Source organism: Homo sapiens, chromosome 6 (assembly GCF_000001405.40).
Source record: "Homo sapiens chromosome 6, GRCh38.p14 Primary Assembly".
Taxonomy (NCBI): Eukaryota; Metazoa; Chordata; class Mammalia; order Primates; family Hominidae; genus Homo; species Homo sapiens.
In genome coordinates, this window is record NC_000006.12 from 107,698,555 (window position 1) to 107,726,095 (window position 27,541).

The following is a 27,541-nucleotide window of genomic DNA, read 5'->3' on the forward strand; positions in this document are numbered from 1 at the left end:
CATGGAGGCAGGAAGAAAGAATAGAATGAGAAGTAAAAAACGAGTGGGAAAGAATGGTCAAGTGGTGCTTACATGGCCTTGAGAAGTTCTGGGCTCATGAGGGAAGAGGATCAAAAAATATCTAGATGAGGTTGCAAAGGAGGAGAGGCAGGAGCCAGCAGCCATGAAACAAAAGAGATGAGCCAACAGCCCATAACCATTACGGCAGCACAGCCCCACTGGCCTTGGCCAAAGTAACTGAGCTGGAAATGCTTTCAAAGGTCATGTGGATGACTCCCCTCCTTTTCCAGATAAGGAGATGGAGGTATGGGGGGAGGTGACTTGGAGAGCTTGTTTCTTGCACACCGTACCATGCTCTGCCCCCCACAGAGCAATGTGGAACCCACGGGGGAGAAGGTTCTACTCTGGAGGGGAGCCGTCCAGATGTCCCCCAAGACCTCTTTTCCCCAACTCTAGGATTCTACGGTTCTACATGTGAGGGTGGTCTCTGTATATTTGCGAACACTCACAATATCCTCAGCTTACCGTGCCTAAGGATATAGCAGTAACATTACTTTAAAATGAATATGTTGAACGTTATACATCCAAATACTGTTGTCCTTCAAAGTAGTCCGTACATTGCAGCTCCTTATTCTAACACCTGCCTAATATATTTAAGTTAACCAGTGAATTGTGGCTGTTATTGTTCAAACTATTTGTACCAAGTAAGGAAACACGCAAGGAAAAGACAAACGAATGTGTGTGAAAACACATGATTTGAAACCTGAAACTGATTACCCATGTCATGCACCAGGCATGAGCCCAGTGGCTTTGGCTTTCTCCAAAAAGAAAAAAAATCCACCCTCAAGGGATGATGATGGGTTTCCAAGAACACTTTGAAAAGAATGTAGTTGAGGATGCTACATTTATGATAGAGGTAGCCTTCAGTCATACATCATTGCTGTAAAGCGACACCTAGTGAGGCGCTGTTATTTCACAATGAGCTGTTTGGAGAAGCAAGGCTTCGGGTGTATTCTAAAGTTGGAGCCAATGGAAGAGGTTGCTGTTGGCCTGTGCAAGCGCCTAGTGCATGGAACTGACTCTAAGGCTCAGACCACGTGGTCAAGCCCCAGAGCAGGGTAGGGTGGGAAGACAGCTGAGGTATAGGTGGTCTGTGTGGTATATGTAGACCCTTCAAATGGAAAGATGCTGCTGTCCCCACACTGTCTGGCATCACTGTTTAATCACCCGTGTCTCTACTATTCTCGTCCTGCCACTATCAATTCATGGCACAGCACTCTCGGCCGACCTGGGGGAGAACGTCATTCTTAAGCTCTACCTGCCATCGTTTCCTCTGCAGGAAAGCGAGCCCAGTGCTGAGCATGGGGAGAACCTCTGGGCTCTTTATGTAGGATTTGAAGAGCGCAGATCTGAGGCCTCACTTGCGAAAGCACCGTGAAGAAAGCAAATCCTCCTCTAACAGTGTGTTTTTGCCCAGAACTGCTTCTAAGTCGGGGGAATTTCATGAAGCCTGGGAGAGTCACAGTGAGCGTTCTCTCCAGCCCAGCATCTTGGTGAGGCCCATGTGTGATAAGACCACCGAAACCACAAAGGAATTTACCACGGGAAGTGTCCCAGCAGTTGCTTATTAGCATTAGAACAATTACACAAAGTCCATTGTTAGCAGACATGTTTTCATGATCCTTAACTGGTGGCAGTAAATAACAGCCATTCTCTTTCAAGCAAATGCTAGATTTCCAAAAATCCAGCTTCTAATTTTCTGTGCAGGGATCATCTTGGATTAGGACAACCATTGGAGTGGATGATACCCCAGAAGCTGAGGTGCCCAGCGCTCTACCTGCAGGAGCAGGGCGGAACACACAGAAGCTGCCTGCGGGTGGATGGGGGTGATGCAGCTGGGTTTGACATCACAGAATGGAAACAGGGAGGTTTGTTCCCCTGGATGTCTGACCGTCTGCTGGACCATCCCCAGGGTTCTTAGTGTGGTCCTCTCTTGCCACAGGGGAGGGATAGGGGCACATGGCAAGGCAACAGGAGAGCCTGGCAGGTGCTCAGTTCTTGGAGTGTTTATGACCAAAAAAAACCAAAAACAAAACTAAAAAAAATCAGCCCCATGGACAGGTTTGCAGCCCTCTCCTTAAAAAAAAAATTGCAGTTTTTAAAAAAATCACCTACTCCTTCACAATCCCATGTCTTGTTATCCGAGGTTTTAAAAAAAAGTGAGTCCAATCCCCTTCCCCTCTCTCCCCAGTGGAGAAGAGCTGAGAAGTGGCCCCTTCAGAGCAGAGGTCAGACAGTGCCTGCCAACCACTTACATATATGTAAACCTGGTTGTTTCTTTAGAATGAGAGCAGAATATTTCCATCTTTTGAGACCTTCTGACAATGACTACATTTGAGTCCCTGGTCACCTATGGGCATCTCCAATTATCTTCAGAGATTTGAGAAAATTCTCCTAAAACCATCTCAAAAATAATTTAAAAAGAATTTTAATTAAAAAAATAAGAAATATTCCATACGGCACATAGATACAAAAATAGGTTATTGCAGCGTGAAGGGTTGGGGCTGTTAGAATTGCTGCTTTCATTGTTTTCCTAAGAAACTTATGGTGTAGGCCTCCCTTTCTCACTGGTTTCTTCTGCAGTAAACCGGCCCTAGTCCCATATTCCTTCCCAATGTATTTAATATAGTTGGTAGCAGCCCTGCTGCAGGGAAATGGTGGGAGTCTGGTGTACTCTCTGGTAGGTGCTAAACGCCCGCAAGACAATTGTTCCCTTCCGTGGGCTCCCCGGCAATGTGTCTCCCGAGAGTCACCTGGAGCCCAGGCTTGGCACATACAATCATCCTCCTGAGGGGGCAGGCCTAGAGCCCCAGAACAGCCCTGGTCACCCAGCTGCCTCCAGGGCACACCCTAGTAGCCTAAGAGGGGACACTTAGTAGTAGCAACCAGACCACAGTGGGTTCTGCCTCCATATTGCAAACCAAGCAAAGGCAATGGCTCATATACTCCCAAGCACTCACTTCCTAAGGCTCTTCCAGCTACAGTGTCAGGAAACACACACACACACACACACACACACACACACACACACAGACAAGACCCACAGCTTTCACCTAAAGTCTTCGCACAGGGAATAATGTGATTCATGAAATATTTAAAAGGCCTTAGGCAATAGAATTGTCTCTTGATTTTTTCTTTCAAGTGTTTAACAGACAAGTGTAATTGGAAATGTTTGGAACATGAACACAGGCACACACACACACACTCTAATTTGGAATTATGCAAAACGATATCATTATTCACTACAACCTGAAGCAAAGCTACTGCAATGGAATAATAAGTACCACATCTGTACAAGTGAGAGGCCCCCAGGTCGGCTCTCATTTGGACAAGGGTGACCCACGTGGCCTAACCCTTTAAGGTCTGTTTAGAGGAAATGGCCTGGTGTGTTTTACATTTGTGAAGCTATTTAGCCTCCTGGTTTGACAAGATTTTTGAGAGGGGTGAAAATTAATTATAATTGCAGTATTGCTACAATAATTTAGTTGGCTAATTGCATTTCAGTGCAGAAACAGTCAAGGAAGATTTTCCTCCCCAGGTTATTCTCTGATGTGGCAGCATTTATTTTAAGAGTAATGAGATTTTTAAAAAGTCAAACCTTAAATATCATGGCTTCAGCAATCTGTCCTGCTTAAAGTTTAATGCAAAATGAGATAGCACCTCCGCGAGAGAAGTTCCACGTGAACATGGATCCAGTTTTCTCCAAGACTTGAAATGAGAACATATCTCTCGCCTGAAAACTACTCAAGGGATCTCTTTGACATTGTTTGGGGCTGATTTTTATTTGAGAGCACCAATGTTTGTGACTCTGTAGTGAAGGAGGCACTGATGAGGGTGGGTAGGAAGTTTTGAAAACTTGATACTGGAAGTCACTACATGAGGTATCTGTTGATGGAAGAGGTACCACAAGTATCGGAAGATTGAGAAAAAAAAGAGGAGTGAAAAACCTGGATTGTTGTGGGATTTTTCTGGATCTCATTGTTTTCACCCTGGCAGTTCTGAGTACATAACCTGCCCATGGCTGTTTTGAGGGAAATGTATCTAACTCTAAACCAGCAGTGAGCACTTACGATTAATAAATTCTTAAGAGACAGGCCCTATCACCTTAAAATCTTGAAGACTCTGCCCCAAGGCCTGATTCAAGGTACTTTTCTCAGGTGCTGAACCTGTCAGAGGCATTTGAACCAGAGCAACTCCATCTTGAATGGGAGCTGGGTAAAATGAGGCTGAGACCTACTGGGCTGCATTCCCAGATGGCTAAAGCATTCTGAGTCACAGGATGAGACAGGAGGTCAGCACAAGATATAGGTCATAAAGACCTTCTGATAAAACAGGTTGCAGTAAAGAAGTTGGCTAAAACCCACCAAAACCAAGATGGCAACGAGAGTGACCTCTGGTTGTCCTCGCTGCTATACTACCACCAGTGCCATGACGGTTTACAAATGCCATGGCAACATCAGGAAGTTACCCTATATGATCTAAAAGGGGGAGGCATGAATAATCCACCCCTTGTTTAGCATATCAAGAAATAAACATAAAAATGGGCAACCAGCAGCCCTCAGAGCTGCTTTGACTATGGGGTAGCCATTCTTTCCTTCCTTTACTTTCTTAATAAACTTGCTTTCACTTTACTTTATGGACTCACCCTGAATTCTTTCTTGCATGAGATCCAAGAGCCCTCTCTTGGGGTCTGGATCGGGACCCCCTTCCTGTAACAAAATCACCAGACATCAAGCTCTTCTACAATCTAATAACTCAAGCTCAATTCAGTGAGCAAGTTTAGTACATTCTCCTCCTCCCCTTCTCTGCCATGCTCTCAGTCCAGCCGCCATTTGTGTGTCTGAAAAGGAGGCTACGATGTGCTTTCTCAAGTACTGCACATGAAAGTGGGCCTAACGGCATGGCATGGACTATTTCTTATGGCCTTCATCTGGATTCTAACTATATAGAGGGTCACTCTGCAGATCTACCCAGGGCTGCCCTCAAGGTTATACAGGTCATGCTCTGTACAACGGCAGCTGATCAAGCGGTGAGGAGGTTGAGCCCCCACCCTGCTCCACTTGCCAGCTGAGACCCCTGCTCAGGTTGTATCCCAGAGAAAGGGGTGCCTTTTCTGATTCACCTTTGGGCGAAGGGAGGCCCTGAGTCATCCCTAACCCTCTCCCTCCCAGAAATTCCAAAATCTAATGTTCATCTCCTCATCTCCAACACTGTTGATGTCCTTTTAAGGAAGAGAATATGCACATGGCAAAGGCGAATTCATTTTGAAGATATGTTTTCTGCTCAGTGTGAAAGAAGAAGAAGAGAGGTGGAGGGAAACAGAGAAAAGAGAAGGATAAAACGAATGGTGGAGAAGTTGTGCCTCTGCCTAATAAATTGTGGATTCATTGTCCGTCTCTGGACACAGCTGCAAAGGAGCAGAAAATCAATTTTTTCTATTACTCCACTGTGAGGAAGGAAAACCTATTTGTAAATTGAATTAAACCCCATAATAGCATGTCTGTGTATTTGTTGAGGACTAGAAAAATTAGCCACAGATACAACTACATAACCCAGCAATGTAACTAGAAATCAACACTCTCCCATTTCAAAGCTTCGTTGAGACATTTTCTTTTCCTTTTTTAAAGAAACACCCATGGCTAAATGTCACTAAGATTCTTCGGCATGCCAACACTTCAACACCTCAATAAGGACTCTGGAAGGGAAGGAACTCCAAAGTCCCATCTGGGTAGAGCGTGCTTCCAAATTCTTGCCTTTGCTAGTTGAGTATCAGTCAGTCAGTCAATAATGATTGGATACGAACTAGACCCCTCTAGCTGATGGTTTCTTCCCAAGTCGCAATCTGTGGTGCTAACTGTGGAATAAATCCCCTGTTTCTGTGTGGGCTAGATCTTGTTCACAGACACCCTAACCCATCCACTCAGTACTGAACAATCCTGCTACTGCAGTCAGTGAGGGTCCTGAAATTTCATTAGCAGTCTGCCCTCTAGCGGAGAAACACAGTACTTCAGATTTTCTAGGAACAGAAAAGATTTTTTTTTTTTTCCTTTTTCTTTCACGGCGTAAAATAATTCAAGTTTTCCAGACAGTGCAAGGTGAGGCAGTCATCTTCAGAAGTCAGCTTCCAGAGCTGAGGCAAACAAGGCTCACATGGATAGGTCCCCAGGTCAGAGTTAGAGGCAGATGGTGCTGAGGGGGTTGTCCCTGCAGAGACCGCAGGGACAAAGGTCCTTCTTTCATCCTTTGAACCCTCCAGAACTCTCCTTGGGCATAAGCATTCAGTTCCCCACTCTCTCGTTATGCAAATAGGACCCACTTTAAGAGAAACCAGCATAACAGGGATGTTAAAAATCACAGGCTTTTGTAATTTTTTGGCAAATTATGAACACAGAGGAGCCTCTCGAAAAGGTCCATGTTAAATTCTTCAAAAGGCAAAGATTCACAAGTTTTATAAAAAGACCACGTCTCTGTGGCTGTTAATTTTAAGAGGAGAGTCTAGTTTGTGATGTTGGCGGGATATTGGTAAGGCAGAAGATAATCTTGGGATCTGTTGTTTTGGGTTTCGCTTCTGTCTTTTTAAAAAAGTCAGAACTTGGCTTGCTTCAGTTTGTCAATGTGGTAGCAGAGTTTCAGTGCAGGTCCCAGCTTCAGGCCCAGGTACTTCATGACCATGTCACTCTTCAGCAACAGCAGAGCGTTGCCATCAATCTCCTGGTGGGATAGGATCAGAAGAAAGATAAACCCAGAAGATGGTCAGAGTCATCGAACAGTGGCTAAGGTTAAGGTGTGGTCAAGGGGTGTGCTCAGGGCATATGGATTGATTTAGGCAGCATATTCTCTTGGTCCTGGGGCAAGGTCTTTTAAAATATTAAAGCAAACAAATACTGTGTTCTCCTCTCCCCATCATCTCCCTGGAGTCATTTGATACACGGGGTGTTTCATATTCCTGCCCTCCCCTCATAGAAGGAATCAAACACAACCTCATGTGTGTTCCCAATATCCCACTTAGGAAGTTTATCTCCTCATCCAAACTTGGCTAAAGGGGCAAAAACCGTCATCCATTAGAACCTGGAACTAGAGGGTCTTTCCATTCCAAACCTCCACCTATTGCCCTAATTTCTCATTTCTTAGTAGGCCCACCTACCTTTAGCTGATAACAAAGCAACTCATTCCACCTATGGAAGATTTCAGGTGTGTTTAGCCCTGTCTATTCCACTAGATGGAATACACTAAAGAATGCCCCTGCTTCATCTCAGGGTTCAGCACAAAGAACTACTAAGAGGATGAGCCAGTCCTTTGAGGTTTGGTCCCGGTGTTGCTGCCATTGGTCATTGAAAATGGTCACCCTCCAGAATGCATGTGGAGTTCATGAACCTAGCAAGGCTGGGCTTCCATGGTCACCTTTAGTGCCATTTTCAGGTCACTGGAGACAAAGGGTAGAAATTTCAGGTGCTCAAGCAGGGAGAAAAGACATAGTTACAGGATTCATATAATGGTGCCAGGGTCACCAGCTCTCTCATTCATCTGCCCAGCCAGCCAGTATTGATGGAGCACCCACTCTGTGTCACTCTCCATGTCTTTGGCAAAATGGCAGTGGGCAAGGCTTACTTGTGGGCCACTCCCAGGAGCCTCATTTTCTACTGTCTTTTATTTCCCTCACCTCCTGGACTCCCACTGTCTCCTCCCACCCTGGAAGACAGCCAGACTCCCCCTGCCCAAATCTGTCCAAGCATAACCCACTCTGTGGTTCTTGGTCTTAAGTCCCCATTGTTAGGTGAGGTCAACATATGCCTAATAAAAGGCAAGTGCTGAGTTAGATGAGAATCCTCCTAAGATTGGAGAGCATGATTTCTATGACAGAATCACCAAATAAAATAAGAAACAGGAAACAAAAATAATGGTCACTGTGGAAGGCGGAATAATGCTCCTTCCCCTCCATGCACGACGTCTGGATTCTAGTCCCCAAACCTGTGAATGTCAAGTTACACGGTGAAGGGGAATTAAGGTTGCAGATGGGATTAAGCTTGCTAATCAGCTGACTTTAAAGTAGGGAGATTATCCCGGATTATGGGGCCAGGTGGGTGGGGGGAGTGGCGGCTGTGTAATCACAAAGCTCCTTAAACGTGGAAGAGGACATCAGCAGTGAGAACCAGGGATGGCAGCCCGAGCAGCCGAACAGGCCTCAGCTTGATGTTACAGGCTTTAAAGATGATGGCAGGGGGACAGGAGCCAAGGACTGATGGTGGATCTAGAAGCCAGAAAAGACAACCAAGCGGATTCTCCCTAGAACCTCCAGAAGGAAAGGCAGCCTTGCTGGCTGAGCCCACTGAGACCCATGCCAGGCTCCTGATCCCCAGAGTGGTAAGACAGAGAATGTATATTGTGTGAGGCAACTACGTTGGTGGTAATCTGTTACAGCACAATATAAAATGAGTACAGTGCCATGCGCGGTGGCTCACACCTGTCATCCCAGCACTTTGGGATGAGACCAGCCTGGCCAACATGGTGAAACCCAGTCTCTACTAAAAATATAAAAATTAGCTGGGCGTGGTGGTGGGTGCCTGTAATCCCAGCTGCTCGGGTGGGCTGAGGCACAAGAATTGCTTGAACTGGGAAGGCAGAGGCTGCAGTGAGCCGAGATTGAGATCGCACTACTGCATTCCAGCCTGGGCGACAGAATGAGACTCCGTCTCAAACAAAAACAAACAAAAACAAAATGCATATAGTAAGCCTGGCAGGTAAATTATTGATTCTTATCTTTAAAAAAATTACCATCTCTATATTTTAGCATATCTCAAAATCATTATAATGCTATCTGCTCAGTGAAGGCTATCCGAGTCAGGAACCGTGCTGAACACCTTTTGTGCATTTTCTTATTTAATCCTCGAAGTGGTTTAGGAACAGGTGCTACTGCGGTTTGCCTGGCATGTCGTTGGTGTGCTGTGAATGTTTGTTGCATTCACAGACGGCTGGATGGGCAGGAAACAGGCACTCCTGACGAAGGCCAACATGAGAGAAGAGATAGGGCAAATATTCCTTTAAAAACAAATTAAGTGGTCACTCTGCTCTGAGGAGCCTGTGGTTGTACCTGTCCCTCTCATCTCTGGCTCCCTTGAGGGTGCCCCTAGGGCTTAGTTTAGAGCACCCCTCCACCACCTCCCCTGGCAGCATCCCGCAGCTCCCTGGACCTCACTCTCCTTCTGTGCCTGCTCCCTCAATCCCCCCCAAGGTCAAACCCACCACTCGCATACGTGCTTTCTGAAGAGCTCCACGTGAGGCCCCAGAGCCTGTGGGTCGGCGTCCTTCACAAACCACACCACGTCCTCCACAGTCCAGGCGGAGGGGTTCCTGCTCCGTGGCCGCCTGGCATCCTGCGCATCCTGAGAAGGGCTTGAGGCTGGATGGGGCACAGAGAGGGAGACCATGAGCCAGTGGGACAGGGCCTTGCACCTACCTGGTGCTGCCTGCCCCCACCTAGCCTGGAAGGGGGATCCTCAGTGCCCATGAGTCCAAGGACCTGGCCCAAGTGACCTCCTGTCATAGGGAAAGGCTGTGAGTGGCAGCTCTATCAGCAGCCCAGAGTGCAGAAGGCCACTCCTAGATATATTACCCTCCCCATGTATGCCAAAGCTCTCTGCTCTCCCAGGAGAGGAAGCACTAGACAGTGGATTCCCTTCAACAGGCTGGAATTCCCACCCTCGTTGGAGTTTTCAAGACTCTCCTGCTCAGTTCTTTCTCGGCAGGCCCAGGGCCTCCTGAGCCTGGGTACTTGGTGACCAGGGCAAGTGTGCTAAGATGAGTGCCCAAATGAGCCTCATCGCGTCAGTGAGGCCAGTGACTTGGGGTCCTTTCTGCCTCCATGGCCTTCACATTGAGAGGATAGAGGCATGGTAGAATTGAGGTGGCTTTTCGTTCTTCTCCACGGTATCTGCAGAATGCAAGTGTGCCTCAGCATCTTCAGAGCCATCCCTGGTCACACATGCAGAAAGAAGATGTCCCCTCACTCACTGCCCCAGGTACACATTGAGTCCTTGCACGGCCCTCTGGGGCTGTCAGAGCATTTGCCCGGGTCTCCCCCACTGCACTGTGAACTCCCTGACCGCAAAGGGCCTAACCTATATCTGGTCCATAGCTGCTTCCTGGGAAATGGTTGCATAGGGCATTTCCCATGCAGCAGGTGAAAAGGCTCAGGACAGTGAAGGAGGAAGACAGCAATGAGTTCAATGGCCGGCAATATTTAGGGTTGATTTTTTGTGTGTGTATGTCCCAAACTAATTCATCCTCTTTCCCTAGAGCCAGCTCCTCTTCCTATCTCCCCCATTTTAGGAACCTACCTCTTTGTCCTCCCCTTTTTGTGTTTCCCACATTTAATTATTCTGAAGCTCTTGGGAGAATGCCTCTGATGCTGATGCCCTTCCACCCCTGCTGCCCCAGCCCCAGAGCCTGCCACCTAACCCCCTGCCATGGGTTCCTAATGGGTATTTTTGGGCCATGTCCTTTTCTTCCTACTGCCTACAACTGCCACTGCCTCACATTCTCCCTAAGACCCATCTCCCAATGGGTCTCCCTTACCAACACACTGAGTCCTCATTCTACCTCAAGGTCAAGGGCTCTCTTGGTCTTAATAATATTTTTCCTTCTTAATGGAGGGGGAGAAGAGCTCTGGTGCCAGAGAGACCTAGGGACAGATCCTGGAGCTGCCCCTTGCTGGTGATTGGACCAGGATGTAGCTCATCATGTGTGAAATGGCAGTGCTTTCTACCTGGAGGGGCAGGTGTAAGGATGGAAATGGGATAGTGCCCTGCCCCGAGGCTGACCTATGTCAGGTGCTCCGCCAAGGGCGGGAGCCTCCCTACCTTCCCCACATCCCTGCTCTCCTGTGCACCACCTGTCTGTCTGGGTACACTTGTTGTGACCGACCGAATGTCTCCCCAGCTTCCTTCCTCTGCCTGTGGCTGGTGCTTTGACTTCAACCTAGAAGGCATTCACCCTCTCTCCTTCCCACTCATGTTCCACCTGATGCCTTCGTGAACAGAAATGTTCTGTGCTTCCTGCAGCCTGCATGTCACCTTCCTACCCCTTTATTTTATTGTATTTTATTTATTTATTTTTCGAGACAGAGTTTCACTCTTGTTGCGCAGGCTGGAGTGCAGTGGCCTGATTTCTGCTCACTACAACCTCCACCTTCCGGGTTCAAGTGATTCTCCTGCCTCAGCCTTCCAAGTATCTGAGATTACAGGCGCCCACCATCACGCCCAGCTAATTCCTGTATTTTAGTAGAGATGGGGTTTCACCATGTTGGTCAGGCTGGTTGGGAACTCCTGACCTCAGGTGATCCACCCATCTTGGCCTCCCAAAGTGCTGGGTTTACAGGTATGAGCCACAGCACCCGGCTTCCTACCCCTTTATTCCTACATCTTTATTTGTTCATCTATCTCTTAAGGTGCTTTCACATTCCACTTTGTAGTACAATTATTTATGAACTTCTCTATAACCTCTAGTTAGATTTTTATTTCCTAAGGATGAGAGCTAAGTTTGAGAGCTCTTCCTTGTCTCTCATCCAAGATATAATCACCAAGAGCTATAAAGAGGTTTTGGATAACAAAAGCTTCCTGACTTGGGCATTTAACAAGACACACTGTAGAATTCCCAGCCACAACTAGGTCCAAGATTCAGAATCAAGAAACGAAGTCAATCTGATATTGCTATTACAACCCAAATGCCTCCTGTGGTTGGATTTTTATTTGATAGGGCCTGGCATTGGGTGAGGGATGGAGACAATTTAGCTAGAAAAAGAAGAATGAGAACAGCATTGTATGTGAGGAGGTGAAGCGGACAAAAGCATGGCAAGAGCTGATTAATTAAAGAGTTTGTGTAGGGGCCAGACGCAGTGGCTCACACCTGTAATCCCAGCACTTTGGGAGGCAGAGGTGGGCGGATCATCTGAGGTCAGGAGTTCAAGACCAGCCCAGTCAATATGGTGAAACCCCGTCCCTACTAAAAATACAAAAATTAGCTGGGTGTGGCGGCACATGCCTGTAATCCCAGCTACTCGGGAGGCTGAGGCTCGAGAATCGCTTGAACCTGGGAGGTGGAGGTTGCATTGAGCCGAGATCATGCCTCCCACTCACTCTATAAAACACCTCGTTGAGCTGTTGCAAGAATTAAATGGCATAATGTTGTAAAGCATTAAACAGGATTACTCATTAGGTAGTTGCTGTTCTTCTTATTATGATGATGTCATTCCATAAATGGCCAGTAGATTTGTTTTCCTAAATCCCAGGGCCACCAGCTCACTCCCCTGTTCAGAAATGTCTGGTTTACAGTTACTACAGAGCAAAGTCCCATCTGCTTGAAATGGATCCCAAACCTCCCAGCATGGTTTCCCTGGTGTCCCTGCACAAACTCTTTTTTTTTTTTTGAGATGAAGTCCCGCTTTGTCACCCAGGCTGCAGTGCAGTGGCATGATCTTGTTCACAGCTCTGTCCTCAGATGTGAGAAGAGCCCCTGGCACACTGTGCCCAGGAAGTCTCTGCTGGCTAGGACCAACCAAAACCTGAGTCTTAACTGCCTGCTCTATAAAAACAAACATTGATTGAGCACCTTTTCTGTACCAGGTGCTAGGTGAAGCGTTTGGTGAAAAATACAAATGTGATCCTCTCATGACAGGGGTTATAATCATTGACTCCTCCATGGCTCAGAGTACATATACAGTCATGCACCGCCTAAGGACGGTGGTCCCATAAGATGATAATGATTCTAGTTCCTATCGCCTAGTGATTTGTGTTGCAATTTTCTCCAGTATTCAGTACAGTAACATGCTGTACAGGTTTGTAGCCTAAAAGCAATAGGCTGTACCACACCGCCTAGGTGTGTAGTAGACTATACCATCTAGGTTTGTGCAAGTACAACCTATGATTTTCACACAACATTGAAATGACCTAAGGATGCATTTCCCAGAATGTATCCCATTGAGTGATGCATGACTGTGTTTATAAATAGGACTTGATAAATGTGAGATGAATCAATATACTCTGCAGACACAGTCTCGGTAACTTATACAAAAGCCTGTGTGTGTAATCTTTACTTCTATTTTAAGGCTAGAAAAAAGACAAGGCTCTGAACAATGAAGCGGCTTTCCTACAGAAGAATTCTAGTTAGAAGTTGAGAAGCCTTCACTTTATTTCCCTTCTTTAGATCTCGGGGCACAGTGGCTTTCTGCTGTCTCTGTCTCCTTCCTCCTTTTAATGTGCCTGAGACGTGCATGCTGCTCCATTAGCACTGAGGAGAATACAGCATCACATTTCTGCGTCTGTCCTAAACACATAATGGTTTGGCTGAGAATTGGATTGACTTTGAGATCTTCCCTGCCTCTTCCTTGTGGGACCTGGAAGGGTCCCATAAGGTGGTTTGGCACGGGGCATTTTTCTGGGAATCTGTTAATGCACCCTGGAGCCATCTGAATGCCGATCCACACTTATTAAAGATGATTTCACTCCATTTAAAGACATCTGCACTCAACATGGGGACGAGGAATCACGGAAATCACATTGCCTTTGGATCCTGCCCCATCAGAACATTGGCGTTAATCAGGGTGAAAATAGATGCTCTGATTACAAAGGCTGGAAGTCTTTAGTGCCAAGAATAATTTTAGAGTGATCAGAGCAGAGGTCAAATCTAATTTCCTGCATTTGACAGGAAGGGGGGAAAACCCAGACCAATTAACAGCATCATTCACAGGAACCTAGAGTCCTTTGAGCTAGGTCAGGGAAACACTTTCCCTTCAACTACAGTGTTGAAGGGCTGAGCCAGGTGGCTGGTTTGTCTTTAAGGAGGAGGCTCTCAGGACGATTGCTGTGGAGGGAAAGAGATAACTGAGATGGCAAAGTGGGCTCTGTTCCTGGTACCTAGGGCTTGCTGTGGGCACTTTTCACTTTTCCAGGATGGAGCAGAGGCAGCAGGGGCCTGGCTCGGGCGTGTTTCTTAGGGGGCCTTTTAGTCATACAAGACAGAGGGCAGCAGGCAGCCTAAGTCACACCTCGGGAGCTGCTCCTGATCCAAAGCACATAGATTCGCTTTAGAAAGGAAGAAAAATGGAGCTTTCCAGTGGCAGGTTTGCAGAGCCTCACAGTGGTCTGTGCTCACAAAAATAATAAATACACTAGCCACTCCCTCTCCAGCTGCAGCGAAGGTGTCAGGAAGACAGATGGGTGGAGCCTGGTGCAGCTGCAGCAGGCAGATGTGATAGATCAACAGTAAGACATGATGGATGTGGAAAAGTCTTGCTCCTAAGCAGACAGAGCATGCCAAGAAGCACTGGCCAGACACCTTTGTGAGCAGGCAGAGTTCTCCAATGAGGACATCGTGCTTGGTCTTGTCATTCCCTGCCAGAGGCATGTGAAAAGTGAAACCTAGTTATGAATGGATTAAATATGCTTGTTTCTAAAGCTGAACTCACATTTACCAGAGCTAGGATGACTATGAGTCAGTGTTTCAAAGCAATCCTGATTCTCACAGCACAGGTACTTGCACACTCTCTGTGAATCTCCCTCTGCCTTACACATGCCCATGAGCACATCCATACGTACATAATTTCCTTTCACTCATTCATAATTCAGGAGAAACTCTTTAGCTAACAACAGAGTCATGTGGAGGAGCGGAATTAGCAGTGAGCTGGGAGTCAGAAACCCCTGCCACCCACCAGCCATGTGATCGACTCTCTGCTTCTCTGTTGTAAAATAAAAGGGCTTGATCTCTAAGCCCCTGCCAGCCCCTTATGACACTGTGTAACCCCTCCCACCTCAGGCTGTTCCCACTAAGGGAGTCACTTCCTCCCACAGCTGAAGGCTGCATCAGTGTGTCCACATGCAAAACACACCGAGTGCAGCCACAGCCAGGCTTCCCGTCCCTCCTGGGCTCTGATCATTCTCTACGGACCTCATTGTCTTCATCTATAAATTGTGAATATTATTTGCTGCTTCTTAAGAATATTTTAAGAATCAAGAGAATGTGTCTCAGGGCTGGAGCCTGACCATAAGAATCTTAAAGACAGGAAGGTCATTGTCTCCGACAGGGACCCCTGTGTCCTCAGGCTGCCTGTGAGCTGCCCAGGCCCTCTTGGTTTCTGGCACCTGGAACTGGGTTGGGAGGACCGGGGCTGGCAAGGGGAAGGGGAGGGAGATCTGTTCTCAGCATCTCCAAGTGACCTGCTCCCACTAGATGCATCCTTTCTAGATACAATGCCATATCAAATGTGTGACATGCCCAGATTAGCCCACGATTATGGCAAAATCACATGGCTTGAAACAGTGCTGTTTTTCATTATTTCTATCTGTTGCCCAGGCTGGAGTGCAGTGGGGTGATCTCGGCTCACTGCAACCTCCGCCTCCCAGGTTCAAGTGATTCTCCTGCCTCAGCCTCCCGAGTAGCTGGGATTATAGGCAAGCATCACTCACTCTATCCAGAGTTTTCAAGATGCCATGTGGTGAGAGAGATGAGAGGGAAGAGAGCCCACTCAATCCTTAGAGTTTAATCAGATTTTTCTTTTCAATTATTTGAGACCAGCTGGCCTGCCTGTGTGAGGAGAGAGCATGTCTCTAGAAACAAGGAGAGACCATGGGCTTGAAGTCAAGCTGAGCTGAGCGAGATTCCTTCTTGGCCACCAGAAGACACTGTGACCTCCTAGCAAGCACTGTTACCTCTGCTGGGAAGCCTCCAGCCATCCCTCCTCCCTACTGACCCTCCCTGGTTGTCTTTCCTCCTGCTTATTCCAGCCAGCTCCACTGCCCCTTCTCTGGGAAGCCTTTCCAGACTCCGAAGGGTAGGCTCAGCCACTCCCTCCCCATCTGATTCTCCCACAGCATCCACACTTCTCCCTGACAGCAATCATCACAATTGTAATGAAATTAGTGTAATAATTTGTTGACATTTGTCTCCCTGGAGTTGCAAACCCTCAGAGAACAGGGCCGGTGTCCATCTTGTTCACAGCTCTGTCCTCAGATGTGAGAAGAGCCCCTGGCACACTGTGCCCAGGAAGTCTCTGCTGGCTAGGACCAACCAAAACCTGAGTCTTAACTGCCTGCTCTATAAAACACCTCGTTGAGCTGTTGCAAGGATTAAATGGCATAATGTTGTAAAGCATTAAACAGGATTACTCATTAGGTAGTTGCTGTTCTTCTTATTATGATGATGTCATTCCATAAATGGCCAGTAGATTTGTTTTCCTAAATCCCAGGGCCACCAGCTCACTCCCCTGTTCAGAAATGTCTGGTTTACAGTTACTACAGAGCAAAGCCCCATCTGCTTGAAATGGATCCCAAACCTCCCAGCATGGTTTCCCTGGTGTCCCTGCACAAACCCTTTATTTTTTTTTTTTTTTGAGATGAAGTCCCGCTTTGTCATCCAGGCTGCAGTGCAGTGGCATGATCTCGGCTCAGTGCAACCTCCACCTCCCAGGTTCAAGCGATTCTCGAGCCTCAGCCTCCCGAGTAGCTGGGATTACAGGCATGTGCCGCCACACCCAGCTAATTTTTGTATTTTTAGTAGGGACGGGGTTTCACCATATTGACTGGGCTGGTCTTGAACTCCTGACCTCAGATGATCCGCCCACCTCTGCCTCTCAAAGTGCTGGGATTACAGGTGTGAGCCACTGCGTCTGGCCCCTACACAAACTCTTTAATTAATCAGCTCTTGCCATGCTTTTGTCCGCTTCACCTCCTCACATACAATGCTGTTCTCATTCTTCTTTTTCTAGCTAAATTGTCTCCATCCCTCACCCAATGCCAGGCCCTATCAAATAAAAATCCAACCACAGGAGGCATTTGGGTTGTAATAGCAATATCAGATTGACTTCGTTTCTTGATTCTGAATCTTGGACCTAGTTGTGGTTGGGAATTCTACAGTGTGTCTTGTTAAATGCCCAAGTCAGGAAGCTTTTGTTATCCAAAACCTCTTTATAGCTCTTGGTGATTATATCTTGGATGAGAGACAAGGAAGAGCTCTCAAACTTTCACCAGAGCATCAGCAGACACCAGGAAAATGTGCCCTGTGAACACATCCCCTTGGAGCCCACTGGCAGCGGAGACAGACGTGATATATCACAACTGCAGGAAGCTAAAGGTAAGTACCGCCAGAGAGAGAAGGCTGAGGAGTTTGTCAAGTCATCAATACCCACCCTTCTGCCTGCAGCCTCATGCAGTTTTCTGGCTTTTGTGGTTTTAAACCATTTTGATTAGTACCATGGGGAAAATGCCATTTCTAAGTCTCTTCCATGGTTTATGACTTGGGTCAAACTCCCTTAAAGAGGTATGGTTTTTTTGATGATAACTGCTTTTTACTTGGGATGGAACTTCAGAGCAATATTGAACAGTCATTTGGGTGGGAGGGTGGGGTGTGGGGGGACCCACAGCAGGCACTAGGCTGACAGCTAGGTGAGAAATGGGTGAGGACGCTGGCGGTTTCTCTCCCACTTTAACATCCTGCCACTCAAGTCAGCATGGTTTTTATCTCCATGGTTTCCAAACATTTTTAGTTGTGCAAATTTTGTTTAAGCAAAGCACATATAGAACCCCACTCTGCAAATGTGAAAAGGCCCTGCTTAAAGAGAGGGAGGGCACCTGGAGTCCTGTCTGCTCTTGTTCCATCTTCTCCATCTCTTAGAACCTTGAAAGCCATCAGGCATGATTTGAAAACCCCTGGGGTTGTTTTGAAAGACAGGCTTTGGAGCCCACTGAAGTCAGATCCTGGCTTAACACTTGATTTACCTTCTCTTGAACCTCTTTTTCTTTATCTTTAAATCAAATATACCAATACCTTTTTATAAATATTAAATCCTAAACATATAACTTATAATAAGTCGGAAACTGTCTGGCCCCCTTGAGTGTAGGTGTTCAATAAATAACAGTCTGATACAGGCCTCAAGCCCCCCTTTGCCAGGGCTGTGGGGGGTTCAAATATGAATAAGAGGCTTCACAAAGCTGAGGGTCTGTTCCTTTCTCTAGGATAGAGTAAGAACTATAGATGAGGAAACAAAGTGCCATGGGAGGAAAAAGGAGGGAGTGAGCATTTCTGATCAGACTTCCCATTGCCTACTCAGCGTTACTTTGCACTTCTTCCTCTGTAATAGCAGCCCTAACTTCCATCTGGAATCATGGTTGCTAGGAATGAAAACCACATTTCCCAGCATCCCTTGCAGCAAGTGGCCATGTGACTACATTTTGGTCAATGAAATGTAAGCAGAAACGGAAACCTCTTTCAGAGACACTGGTGCTATCCTTCCTTCCGTCTTCTCCCCACCCACTTCCTCTGTCTCACTGCTGAGAATGTGCATGGCTGACTGGCTGTTTCTGGTACCTGCGGTTTTATTTAGCACCCTGAGGAAGGCACTGGTTAAAAGGAATCTTTCGGCTGGGCGGGGTGGCTCACGCCTGTGGTCCCAGCACTTTGGGAGGCCGAGGCAGGCAGATCACGAGGTCAGGAGATCGAGACCATCCTGGCTAACACTGTGAAACCCCGTCTCTACTAAAAATACAAAAAAAAAAAAAAAAAAAAAAAAAAAAAAGCCAGGTGTGGTGGCAGGCACCTGTAGTCCCAGCTACTCAGGAGGCTGAGGCAGGAGAATGGCATGAACCCAAGAGGCAGAGCTTGCAGCCTGGGTGACAGAGCGAGACTCTGTCTCAAAAAAAAAAAAAAAAAGGAATCTTCGGAGAATTAAAGTGTTAACAGACCTACAAAGGATGAATAATTTCATTTTTCTTCAGTGTATCACAAAGGCTCAACAGTGAACTTCAACTGATACATCACATAGCAGCTTTTCTCCAAAGAGGTTAGGTGGCTTTGCGATTTTAAACATCCCACAGTCCCGTGGTGGGGGTCCTGCTGATTATGGACAACTGGATTTCAGGGTCTCAGGCAAAGTTCTCTCTAATATTTATTTTTATTTATTTATTTTTTGAGACAGAGTCTAGCTTTGTTGCCCAGGCTGGAGTGCAGTGGCGCAATCTCTGCTCACTGCAACCTCCACCTCCCGGGTTCAAGCGATTCTCTTGCCTCAGCCTCTCAAGTAGCTGGTATTACAGGCGTGCATCACGACACCCAGCTAATCTTTGTATTTTTAGTAGAGACGGGGTTTCACCATGTTGGTCAGGCTGGTCTCAAACTCCTGACCTCAAGTGATCCACCCGCCTTGGCCTCCCAAAGTGGTGGGATTGCAGGCATGAACCATCGTGCCTGGCTGGTTCTAATACTTCTAAGTTATTAAAAAGACAGCCAGGATTCAGGGTTCAGGTATTGATGTTCTTGGGATGAAAGGCAGCAGGCACAGGTGGACTCCGTGTCTCTGATCTCATCCCAGATCCTGACAGGCAGAAGGGCCTGAGCTAGGGGGCCTCTCCTGGGGTGCAACCAGGCTCCAGCAGAGAGGCTTTCTCAGAGCTGGAGGCTGAGGAAGGGTCTGGGCTGCCCCTCGGCCAGTCGTCTGGCAAGATTACTCAGACTGTCAGGGCCTGATTCCAGGATGATATGAGTTAGCTCTGTGTCCCCACCCAAATCTCACCTTGAATTGTAATAATCCCCATGTGTCAAGGATGGAGCCAGTTGGAGATAATTGAATCATGGGTTTGGTTCCCCCATTCTGTTCCTGTGGTAGCCAGTAAGTCTCACGACATCTGATGGTCTTATAAAGGGGAGTTCCCTTGCACAAGCCCTCTTACCTGTCACCATGTAAGACGTGCCTTTGCTTTCCCTTTGCCTTCTGCCATGATTGTGAGGCCTCCCCAGCCATGTGGAACTGTGAGTCCATTAAGCGTCTTTCCTTTACAAATTACCCAGTTTCGGGTATGTCTTTATTAGCAGAACAGACTCATACACAGGAGAACAAAGGGCCGGTATGGGGATGAAAGTGAAGGACAGGAGGACATCCTAGGGCTCAACTGGAAGGAGGTGTGAGGGGCTGGGGGACAGGAGCTATGCTGAAGCCCTCTGAAGAGCCCTGGATTCCCTGGCCCTGGGTCACCAGTTGGACTGAACAGGGCAGACTGTTGTTGAGTGAGTGATAGAAGTTCTCTCCAACCAAATCATGCCTCCCTCTTACTGCTGGAAATCCTGCATTTAAGACATAGGGCTGAGATTGCACCAACGTGAGTGGGAGAGAGAGTAAATATCTCCTTTTTAAAAAGTGGGACTCTGGGATTATGAGTCAATTCAATCAGCATGGTGTCCTGTGATCACCACCCTGAGAAAAGGGGAATGGGGCTGAGGAGAAGAGGATGAGAGAAAGACATTTAAACTCAAGAGGGACATAAGGATGAGTGTTTTGACAAGAAGACAAAGGGACACCGTGAGGGCACAGACATGATGCATGTTTATTGAACACCTACCACATGCCAGATATTAAGCTAACACTGGGGACAAACCTATGAAATCAAGGCTGCCCCTGGTTTACTTTACAGTGTTGGTTCGTGAAAGATCTTGTCCCTTTCTCTTGTTCTTAGGAATCAAATGGAACAATGTTGCTCTCCTTTGGAAAATAGGGCTCTGCTCACTTAATCTGCCTGGCTCATGGCCCTGTGTGACAGTGTTGGAAAGTGGCCTGCAGGGCATCTCTACATTTGGTAAGAGCTGCTGTGGAGGGAGAATCTGCGCTCTACCCCTCAGAACGCCTCTCCGGCAAGGGGCCCCTTCTCACCTCTCCATCCTTGGCCAGGGGAAGCTGGTCAGGGCCACGCTCATCTGGGTTGGATGAGGCTCTTGGAAGAGAATGTGTGGAGGGTCTTGAATCATACAAAATAGCTCACGTGTGCGGCTTGCTGGGGTCACTGGTGGAAGGATCCTAGGCTCAGGGGAGAAATGTGACTTGCCACAGAAGACAGAGCCTGCCCACTGAGGGGCTACAGGGTGGCAAGATGAAGACTCCCAGACTCCTTGGCCTGGGGCCTTCTTTCTTCAGCAGTTCTCAGCTGTGGAGCTGATGGGCTGTGATCTGTTAAGGGATGTGTTAAAAAGATCTATGCTGTAACTACTAACATTTATTGAGCTCTTGTTACCTCCTAGGTCTTGTACTAAATGCATGTATGAACTCATTTAATCCTCCCAACAATCCTATGAGGCAGGTGCTGCCATTATTATTATCACAATTTTATAGGTGAGGAAACTGAAGCACAGGTAAGTTAAGACTTGCAAAAGGTAGGCAGGAAGCAGCAGATCCAGCATCTCAGCCCAGGCTGTCTGGCTCTAGTCCCAGTGATTATCCACTATACTCTATGGCCTTTAGGCACTATCAAAATACTGAAGCTTGAAAATGATTTTTTAAAACATCAATCAGAAGGGCCTTCAAGCTATTACTATAATCCTTTAGCCCTTATAGCGCTTTTGTAGACTGCATTCCAACAAGCTTTCTTTAGTGGATGAGACAGAAGTGGCATTACAACCAGCATTGGGGGAATTTTGCCTAACTCTGCCTCTGCTCATGTATTTGTATCCTGAAGGTGACACTTCCTATGCAAGAGACAATTCTTTACCAAGGTCTGGTTCTCCTTTCTCCTGGGCAGAGCTAACCTACAGCTTCCAGAGTCCCTTATGGTTAAGTGTGGCAAAATGACCAGCTTTTGCCAATGAGATGTGAGTGGAAGTGATGAGCATCACTTTCAGATTGCAGGGAAGCACCTGTGTCTTCTCCACACCTTCTTTCCCTTTCTATTCCCTAATGCATGGGGCATGAAGGCTGTAGAGGGTGGCAGAGCCACAAAATAGATGGAGCCTATGTCCCTATATTGAGATGCATCCATGAATCAGGAACATTCACCTTTGGCTCTCGAACAAAAATTTCTATGGTATTTGAGCCTGTGTACATTTTGGAGTCTACGTATCCTGTGGCCTAGCCTGCCCTAATACACGATTTTCTTTGCTTATCAAAGGTTGAGTTTGGCTGTTTTTGAGAACCTCAAGATCCATGAAAGGACTTGTGGAAATTTCTGATCTCCCAGCAGTCCCACGTTTAAACAGCCACACTCCCCCTTCCCCAGATGCTGTGCTCCCCGCGCAAGGGCAAGGGATGTTAAGTCAGTGGGAAGCTGATGCATGCATTACATTACCACATCTGTTTCCTTCAAGAGAGGTCGTGTTTCTCTTGGGGCTGGAGGCTGGAGGCCTCAGCCCAGGTGCCGAGGGGCCACCAGAAGACATGGGGCTAGTGCGGGGACCACCAGCGGTGGCAGCAGGACCACCCCCAAGGTGGCTGTCTCCAGAGTTCTGCCTCTTGCAGTACAGCGAGGAGGAGGGGTGCAAGGAGCCCCTGTGGTTAAAGGTGGAGGCGGAGGTGTCCACGCTGTAGCGGTTCATGCCCACAGGGTTCACCAGGTACTCTTCGGTGGTGACTGTCTTGACTAAGCAATAAGGCAGTACAGAGAAGCAGATATCAGAGAGCAGTTCAGGAAGCTATCAGACCCTCCGTCTTGGCAAACCCTGCCCTGCCAACACAGTAGCCAGTATTTGTGAGCATGCAGAGAGGAGAAATGAACCTCACAACATAATTCCAAATAGCATACCTGTCAGCAGGCTGAGAGCTGCTTTGCCCACAGGAGCATATTGTAATAGGAATTAGGAGGTGTGCTCCTCGGTGCTTAGAGGAAAATTGATATTTTGGCCATTGATGACTTAATAAGCCCAAATCAGGCCAGGTGCAGTGGCTCCCGTCTGTAATCCCTGAACTTTGGGAGGCCAAGGCAGGTGGATCACCTGAGGTCTGGAGTTCAAGACCAGCCTGGCCAACATGATGAAACTCCATCTCTACTAAAAATACAAAAAATTAGCCGGATGTGGTGGCAGGCACCTGTAATCCCAGCTACTCAGGAGGCTGAGGCAGGAGAATCGCTTGAACCCGGGAGGCAGAGGTTGCAGAGCAAAACTCCATCTCAAAAAAAGAAAAAAAAAAAGAGTAAGATCAAAGACTTTCTTCTGCAGTGGCTCTGCCCTCACAGTCTCTGCTGGCTTCTCAGAATCTCCCTGTACTCCCTGCTCTTGCTCACCCACCAGCACAGCCCCCCTCACCTGGCTCAGGACTCCTGGGAGAGATCAAGCAAGAGTCACAATGTCCCAGAGTCAGGAGAGACAACTGTGGCCTGGGTGGTGGCCCAGGTGCCACAGTGCTTTCTCCCCACACCTTTAGTCCTGATACAAACACATGAGGGCAGCCATCCTCCGCCACGGCTAACAAGCAGGGATGCAAGTGCTGATCTGGATAGCCCCACAATCCTCCCCAAACCCTTCACAGGAGAGCTAAAGAGCCAAGCTAAAGTGCAGAGGGAGGAGAGGACTTAGAAAGTCTGCCAACCTCATCATCAGCGCCTCTTAAGTAAACCAGGACTTATCATACTTTTTTTTTTTTTTTTTGAGATGGAGTTTTAATCAATAAGTCTGTCACCCAGGCTGGAGTGCAGTGGTGCGATCTCGGCTCACTGCAACCTCCACCTCTCTGGTTGAAGCGATTCTCTTGCCTCAGACTCCCGAGTAGCTGGAAGCACCATACCCGGCTAATTTTTGTATTTTTAGTAGAGATGGGGTTTCACCATGTTGGCCAGGCTGGTCTCAAACTCCTGACCTCAAGTGATCCATCTGCCTCGGCCTCCCAAAGTGCTGGGATTACAGTCCTATACTTTTAAAGCTCAACATTGAGCCTGTTGAACTCCCTGTGAGCTACACCTGTGGCCGAATGGTGGGTTTTTTGTTTGTTTTATTATTTTTATGTGGAGTTTTTCTTTTGGGGGGTGGGGGAAGTCCAGAGAAATTACGGTGATAGAAAGAAGGAAACTATTCTAGTCCCTCCCACCAGGACAAGATCATGTCTACCTGTCCCCAGCAATAATTATCTGTATATTAGACACCATCAAAACAGATCTTGGTATGCCCAAAGAAAATGCAATCAGCAAAAATATGAAAAATAAAAACAAAACAAAACAACAACAACAACAAAAACCAATGGATCCTCCATGATTGGCAATGAAAAACAAATTTGAGGCCACAAGATCCAAATGTCTTCTCCATACATGGATTCTTCCACAATGTAGGAAGATTATTGAAGATTAAGACTTGATTTTATTAGGGAAGCTAGCAGATCTTCTCATAGTTGGGGATGGATGTGGAGCTTGACTAAAAATAAAAGTCTTTGAAGATGTGATACAGATAAGTAGTGGCTAGAGGTAAATTTACAGCTGTAAATACTTCTGTTAAAGGAAGAAAGATCTCAAATGAATAACCTAATCTTCTATCATAAGACACTGGAAAAAAAAGCAAAGAAGGAAATAATAAAGATTTGAGCAAAAATTAATTCAATAGAGAATTTTAAAAAACAATAGAAGAAATCAATAAAACCAAAAGCTTGTTCTTTGGAAAAAGAACCAACAAAATTGCAAGCCTTTAGCTACATTGACAAAAAAATAAACAAATAAAACGTAAAGAAGGAAAGAGAGATGATTCAAATTACTAGAATCAGAAATGAAAACCTGAAAGAGAGGAAATTACTACCAACCTTACAGAAATTGAAAAAGATTGAGAAATACAGATGCTTTTTGCTTACAATAGGGTTATATCCCAATAAATTTATCATAAGTTAAAAATATCATAAGTTGAAAATGCATTTAGCATACATACTCTACCACACATTATAGTTTAGCCTAGCTGACCTCAAACATGCTCAGAACACTTACATTAGCCTACAGTTGGACAAAATCATCTAACACAAAGCCAATTTTATGATAAAGTATTGAATATCTCATGTAATTTACTGAATACTTACTGAAAGTGAAAAACAGAATTGTTGTATAGATACTTGAAGCATGGTTTTCAGTGAATGTGTATCACTTTCACACCACCATAAAGTGAAAAAAATCATTGTCAAACCATCTTAAGTAGGGAACCATCTGTTCTATAAACAGTTGTATGCCAGTAAATTAGATAACTTAGATAAAATGAACAAACTACTAAAACTGACTTAAGAAGAAAAAGACAATCTGAGTAGACCTGTAAGAAGTAAAAAGATTGAATTAGTAATCAGAAAACTACCCACAAAGAAAGCCCAAGCCTGAATAACTTCACGGTTGAATTCTACCAAACATTTAAAGAAAAAATAATACTAATTCTTTACAAATTCTTCCAAAGAATAGAAGGGGGTGGAATACTTCCCAGCTTCTATGGCAAATACTTCTACGAAGCCAGGATTACCCTCATACCAAAACCAGACAGACACATCATAAGAAAACTATAGACCAATATCTGGTATTCATATGAATGCAGAAATCCTCAACAAAAAACCTGGCAAAACTGAACCCGGCAACATATAAAAAGATATATACACCATGACCAAGTAGGATTTATCCCAGGAATGCAAGCCTGATTTAACATTCCAAAATCAATTAATGTAATACACCATATGGATAGAATAATAAAACAGAGATCACACAATCACCTCAACAGATGCAGAAAAACATTTGACAAAATCCAATACCCTTTTATGATAAAATCACTCAACAAACTAGGGACAGAAGGGAATTTCCTCAATCTGACAAAGGGTATCTGCAAAGAACCAATAGGTAATATCATGGCTAATGGTCAAAGACTGGATGCTGTCCCCCAAGATCAGGAACAAAAAGAGACGGTCCATTCCAGCTACTTCTATTAACATTGTACTAGAGGTTCCAGCCAGTGCAATTAGGTTAAGGAAAAGAAAAGCCATCTGGATTAGGAAGGAAGAAGTACAACTATCTCTTATGTGTACGAAATCCTAAGGAATCTACTTAAAAGACTGTTGGAACTAGTAAGTAGTTCAGCAAGGTTGTAGGATACAAGATCAATGTGCAAAAATCAATTGTATTTCTACACATTTGCAATTAACAATTAGAAAATAAAATTGAGAATAATTCCATTTATAATAGTATGAAAAAGAATAAATAAAATAGGAATAACTTTAACAAAAGTTCAAACATACTCTGAAAACTACAAAACATTGTTGAAAGAAATTAAAGAAGATATAAATAAATGGAAAAAAAAATCTCATGTTCATAGATCAGAAGGCTTATTTTTAGGGTGGCAATTCCCCTCAAATTGATCTACAGATTCAGCACAATCCCTGTCAGAATCTTCACTGATTTATTTGTAGAAAATAACGAGCTAATTCCAGAACTCATATGGAATTGCAAGGGACACAGAATAGCCAAAGCCATCATGAAAACCAAAAACAAAGTAGAAGGCTCACACTTCCTGATTCCAAATTTAGTACAAAGCAACAATAATCAAGACAATGTGGGAGGTCATCATGTTAAATGAAATAAGCCAGGCACAGAAAGACAAATATCACATGTTCTCACCCATATGTGGGAGCTAAAAAAGTGGATCTCATGAAGATAGGGAGTAGATTGGTGGTTACCAGAGGCCAGGAAGGGCAGAGGTCAGTGAGGATGAGGAGAAGTTGATTAAAGTTACAAATATATGGTTTTATAGAAGAAATAAGACTTAGAGTTTGAGAAATCACTTGAGTGACTATAGTTTACAACAATCTATTAAACATTTGAAAATAGCTAGAAAAGAATAATTCAAATGGTTCTACAGTAAAGACAAATATTTAAGGCGATGGATATCCCAAGTACACTGATTTGATCTTTACAAATTATATGAATGTAACAAATTATCACATGTACCCTAAAACTACATACATCTCTTATGCGTTGATTTAAAAATTTTTTAAAAAAATAAATAAATAAAGCCAATGTCATTGGAGAGGGAAAAAAAGACAGTGTGGTTCTGGCATTTGAATAGGTATACAGATCAATGAAATATAATTCAGAATCCAGAAGTAAATCCATGTGTATATGTTCAGCTGATTTCCACAAGGGTGCCAAGACCATTCAATGGAAGAAAGGATAGTCTTTTCAACAAATGGTGCTGGGACAACTGGATATCCACATGTAAAAGACTAAAGGAAAGCCCTTACTCACACCATATACAAAAATTAACTCAAAATGAATAAAAAATGTAAATGTAAGAGCAAAAATTATAAAACTCTTAGAAAGAAACATATGGGGTAAATGTTTGTGACCTTGGATTTGGCAAAATATTCTTAGATTTGACACCAAAAGCACAAGCAATAAAATAATAAAATAAATTAGACTTCATCAAAATTAAAAACTTTTGCACGTTTGCACTGGGCACGGTGGCTCATGCCTGTAATCCCAGCACTCTGGGAGGCAGAGGTGGGTGGATCACATGAGGAGTTCGAGACCAGCTTGGCCAACACAGTGAAACCCCGTCTCTACTAAAAATACAAAAATAAACTGGGCATGGTGATGCGAGTCTGTAATCCCAGCTGCTTGGGAGGCTGAGGCATGAGAATTGCTTGAACCTGGGAGGCAGAGGTTGCAGTGAGCCGAGATGGCGCCACTGCACTCCAGCCTGAGCAACGGAGCAAGACCCAGTCTCAAAAAAAAAAAAAAAAAAG

The 27,541-nt window shown here is 45.6% G+C and overlaps 1 protein-coding gene across 11 annotated transcripts in view, besides 2 other annotated features; it reads right to left on the reverse strand.

The window, feature by feature from the left end:
• Positions 1–3,599: 3,599 nt before the first annotated feature.
• Positions 3,600–27,541, reverse strand: part of SCML4 (Scm polycomb group protein like 4) — a 143,885-nt gene continuing 119,943 nt past the window's right edge. For all 11 annotated transcript variants that reach the window (XM_047418598.1, XM_011535706.2, XM_047418596.1 and 8 more), the window contains 3 exons: positions 22,149–22,439; positions 9,312–9,457; positions 3,600–6,771 (listed from right to left, as the gene is read on the reverse strand). In XM_047418598.1, the coding sequence (XP_047274554.1) occupies positions 6,646–6,771; positions 9,312–9,457; positions 22,149–22,439 (563 nt within the window). In that variant the 3' untranslated portion in view covers positions 3,600–6,645. The remainder of the gene's footprint in view (positions 6,772–9,311; positions 9,458–22,148; positions 22,440–27,541) is intronic.
• Positions 14,846–14,955: a silencer, noted in NCBI's record as "silent region_17442". NCBI's record gives its function as "represses an Ori minimal core promoter by ATAC-STARR-seq in GM12878 lymphoblastoid cells {active_cell/tissue: GM12878}" and the evidence as "EXISTENCE:reporter gene assay evidence [ECO:0000049][PMID:35858748]".
• Positions 18,222–18,371: a silencer, noted in NCBI's record as "silent region_17443". NCBI's record gives its function as "represses an Ori minimal core promoter by ATAC-STARR-seq in GM12878 lymphoblastoid cells {active_cell/tissue: GM12878}" and the evidence as "EXISTENCE:reporter gene assay evidence [ECO:0000049][PMID:35858748]".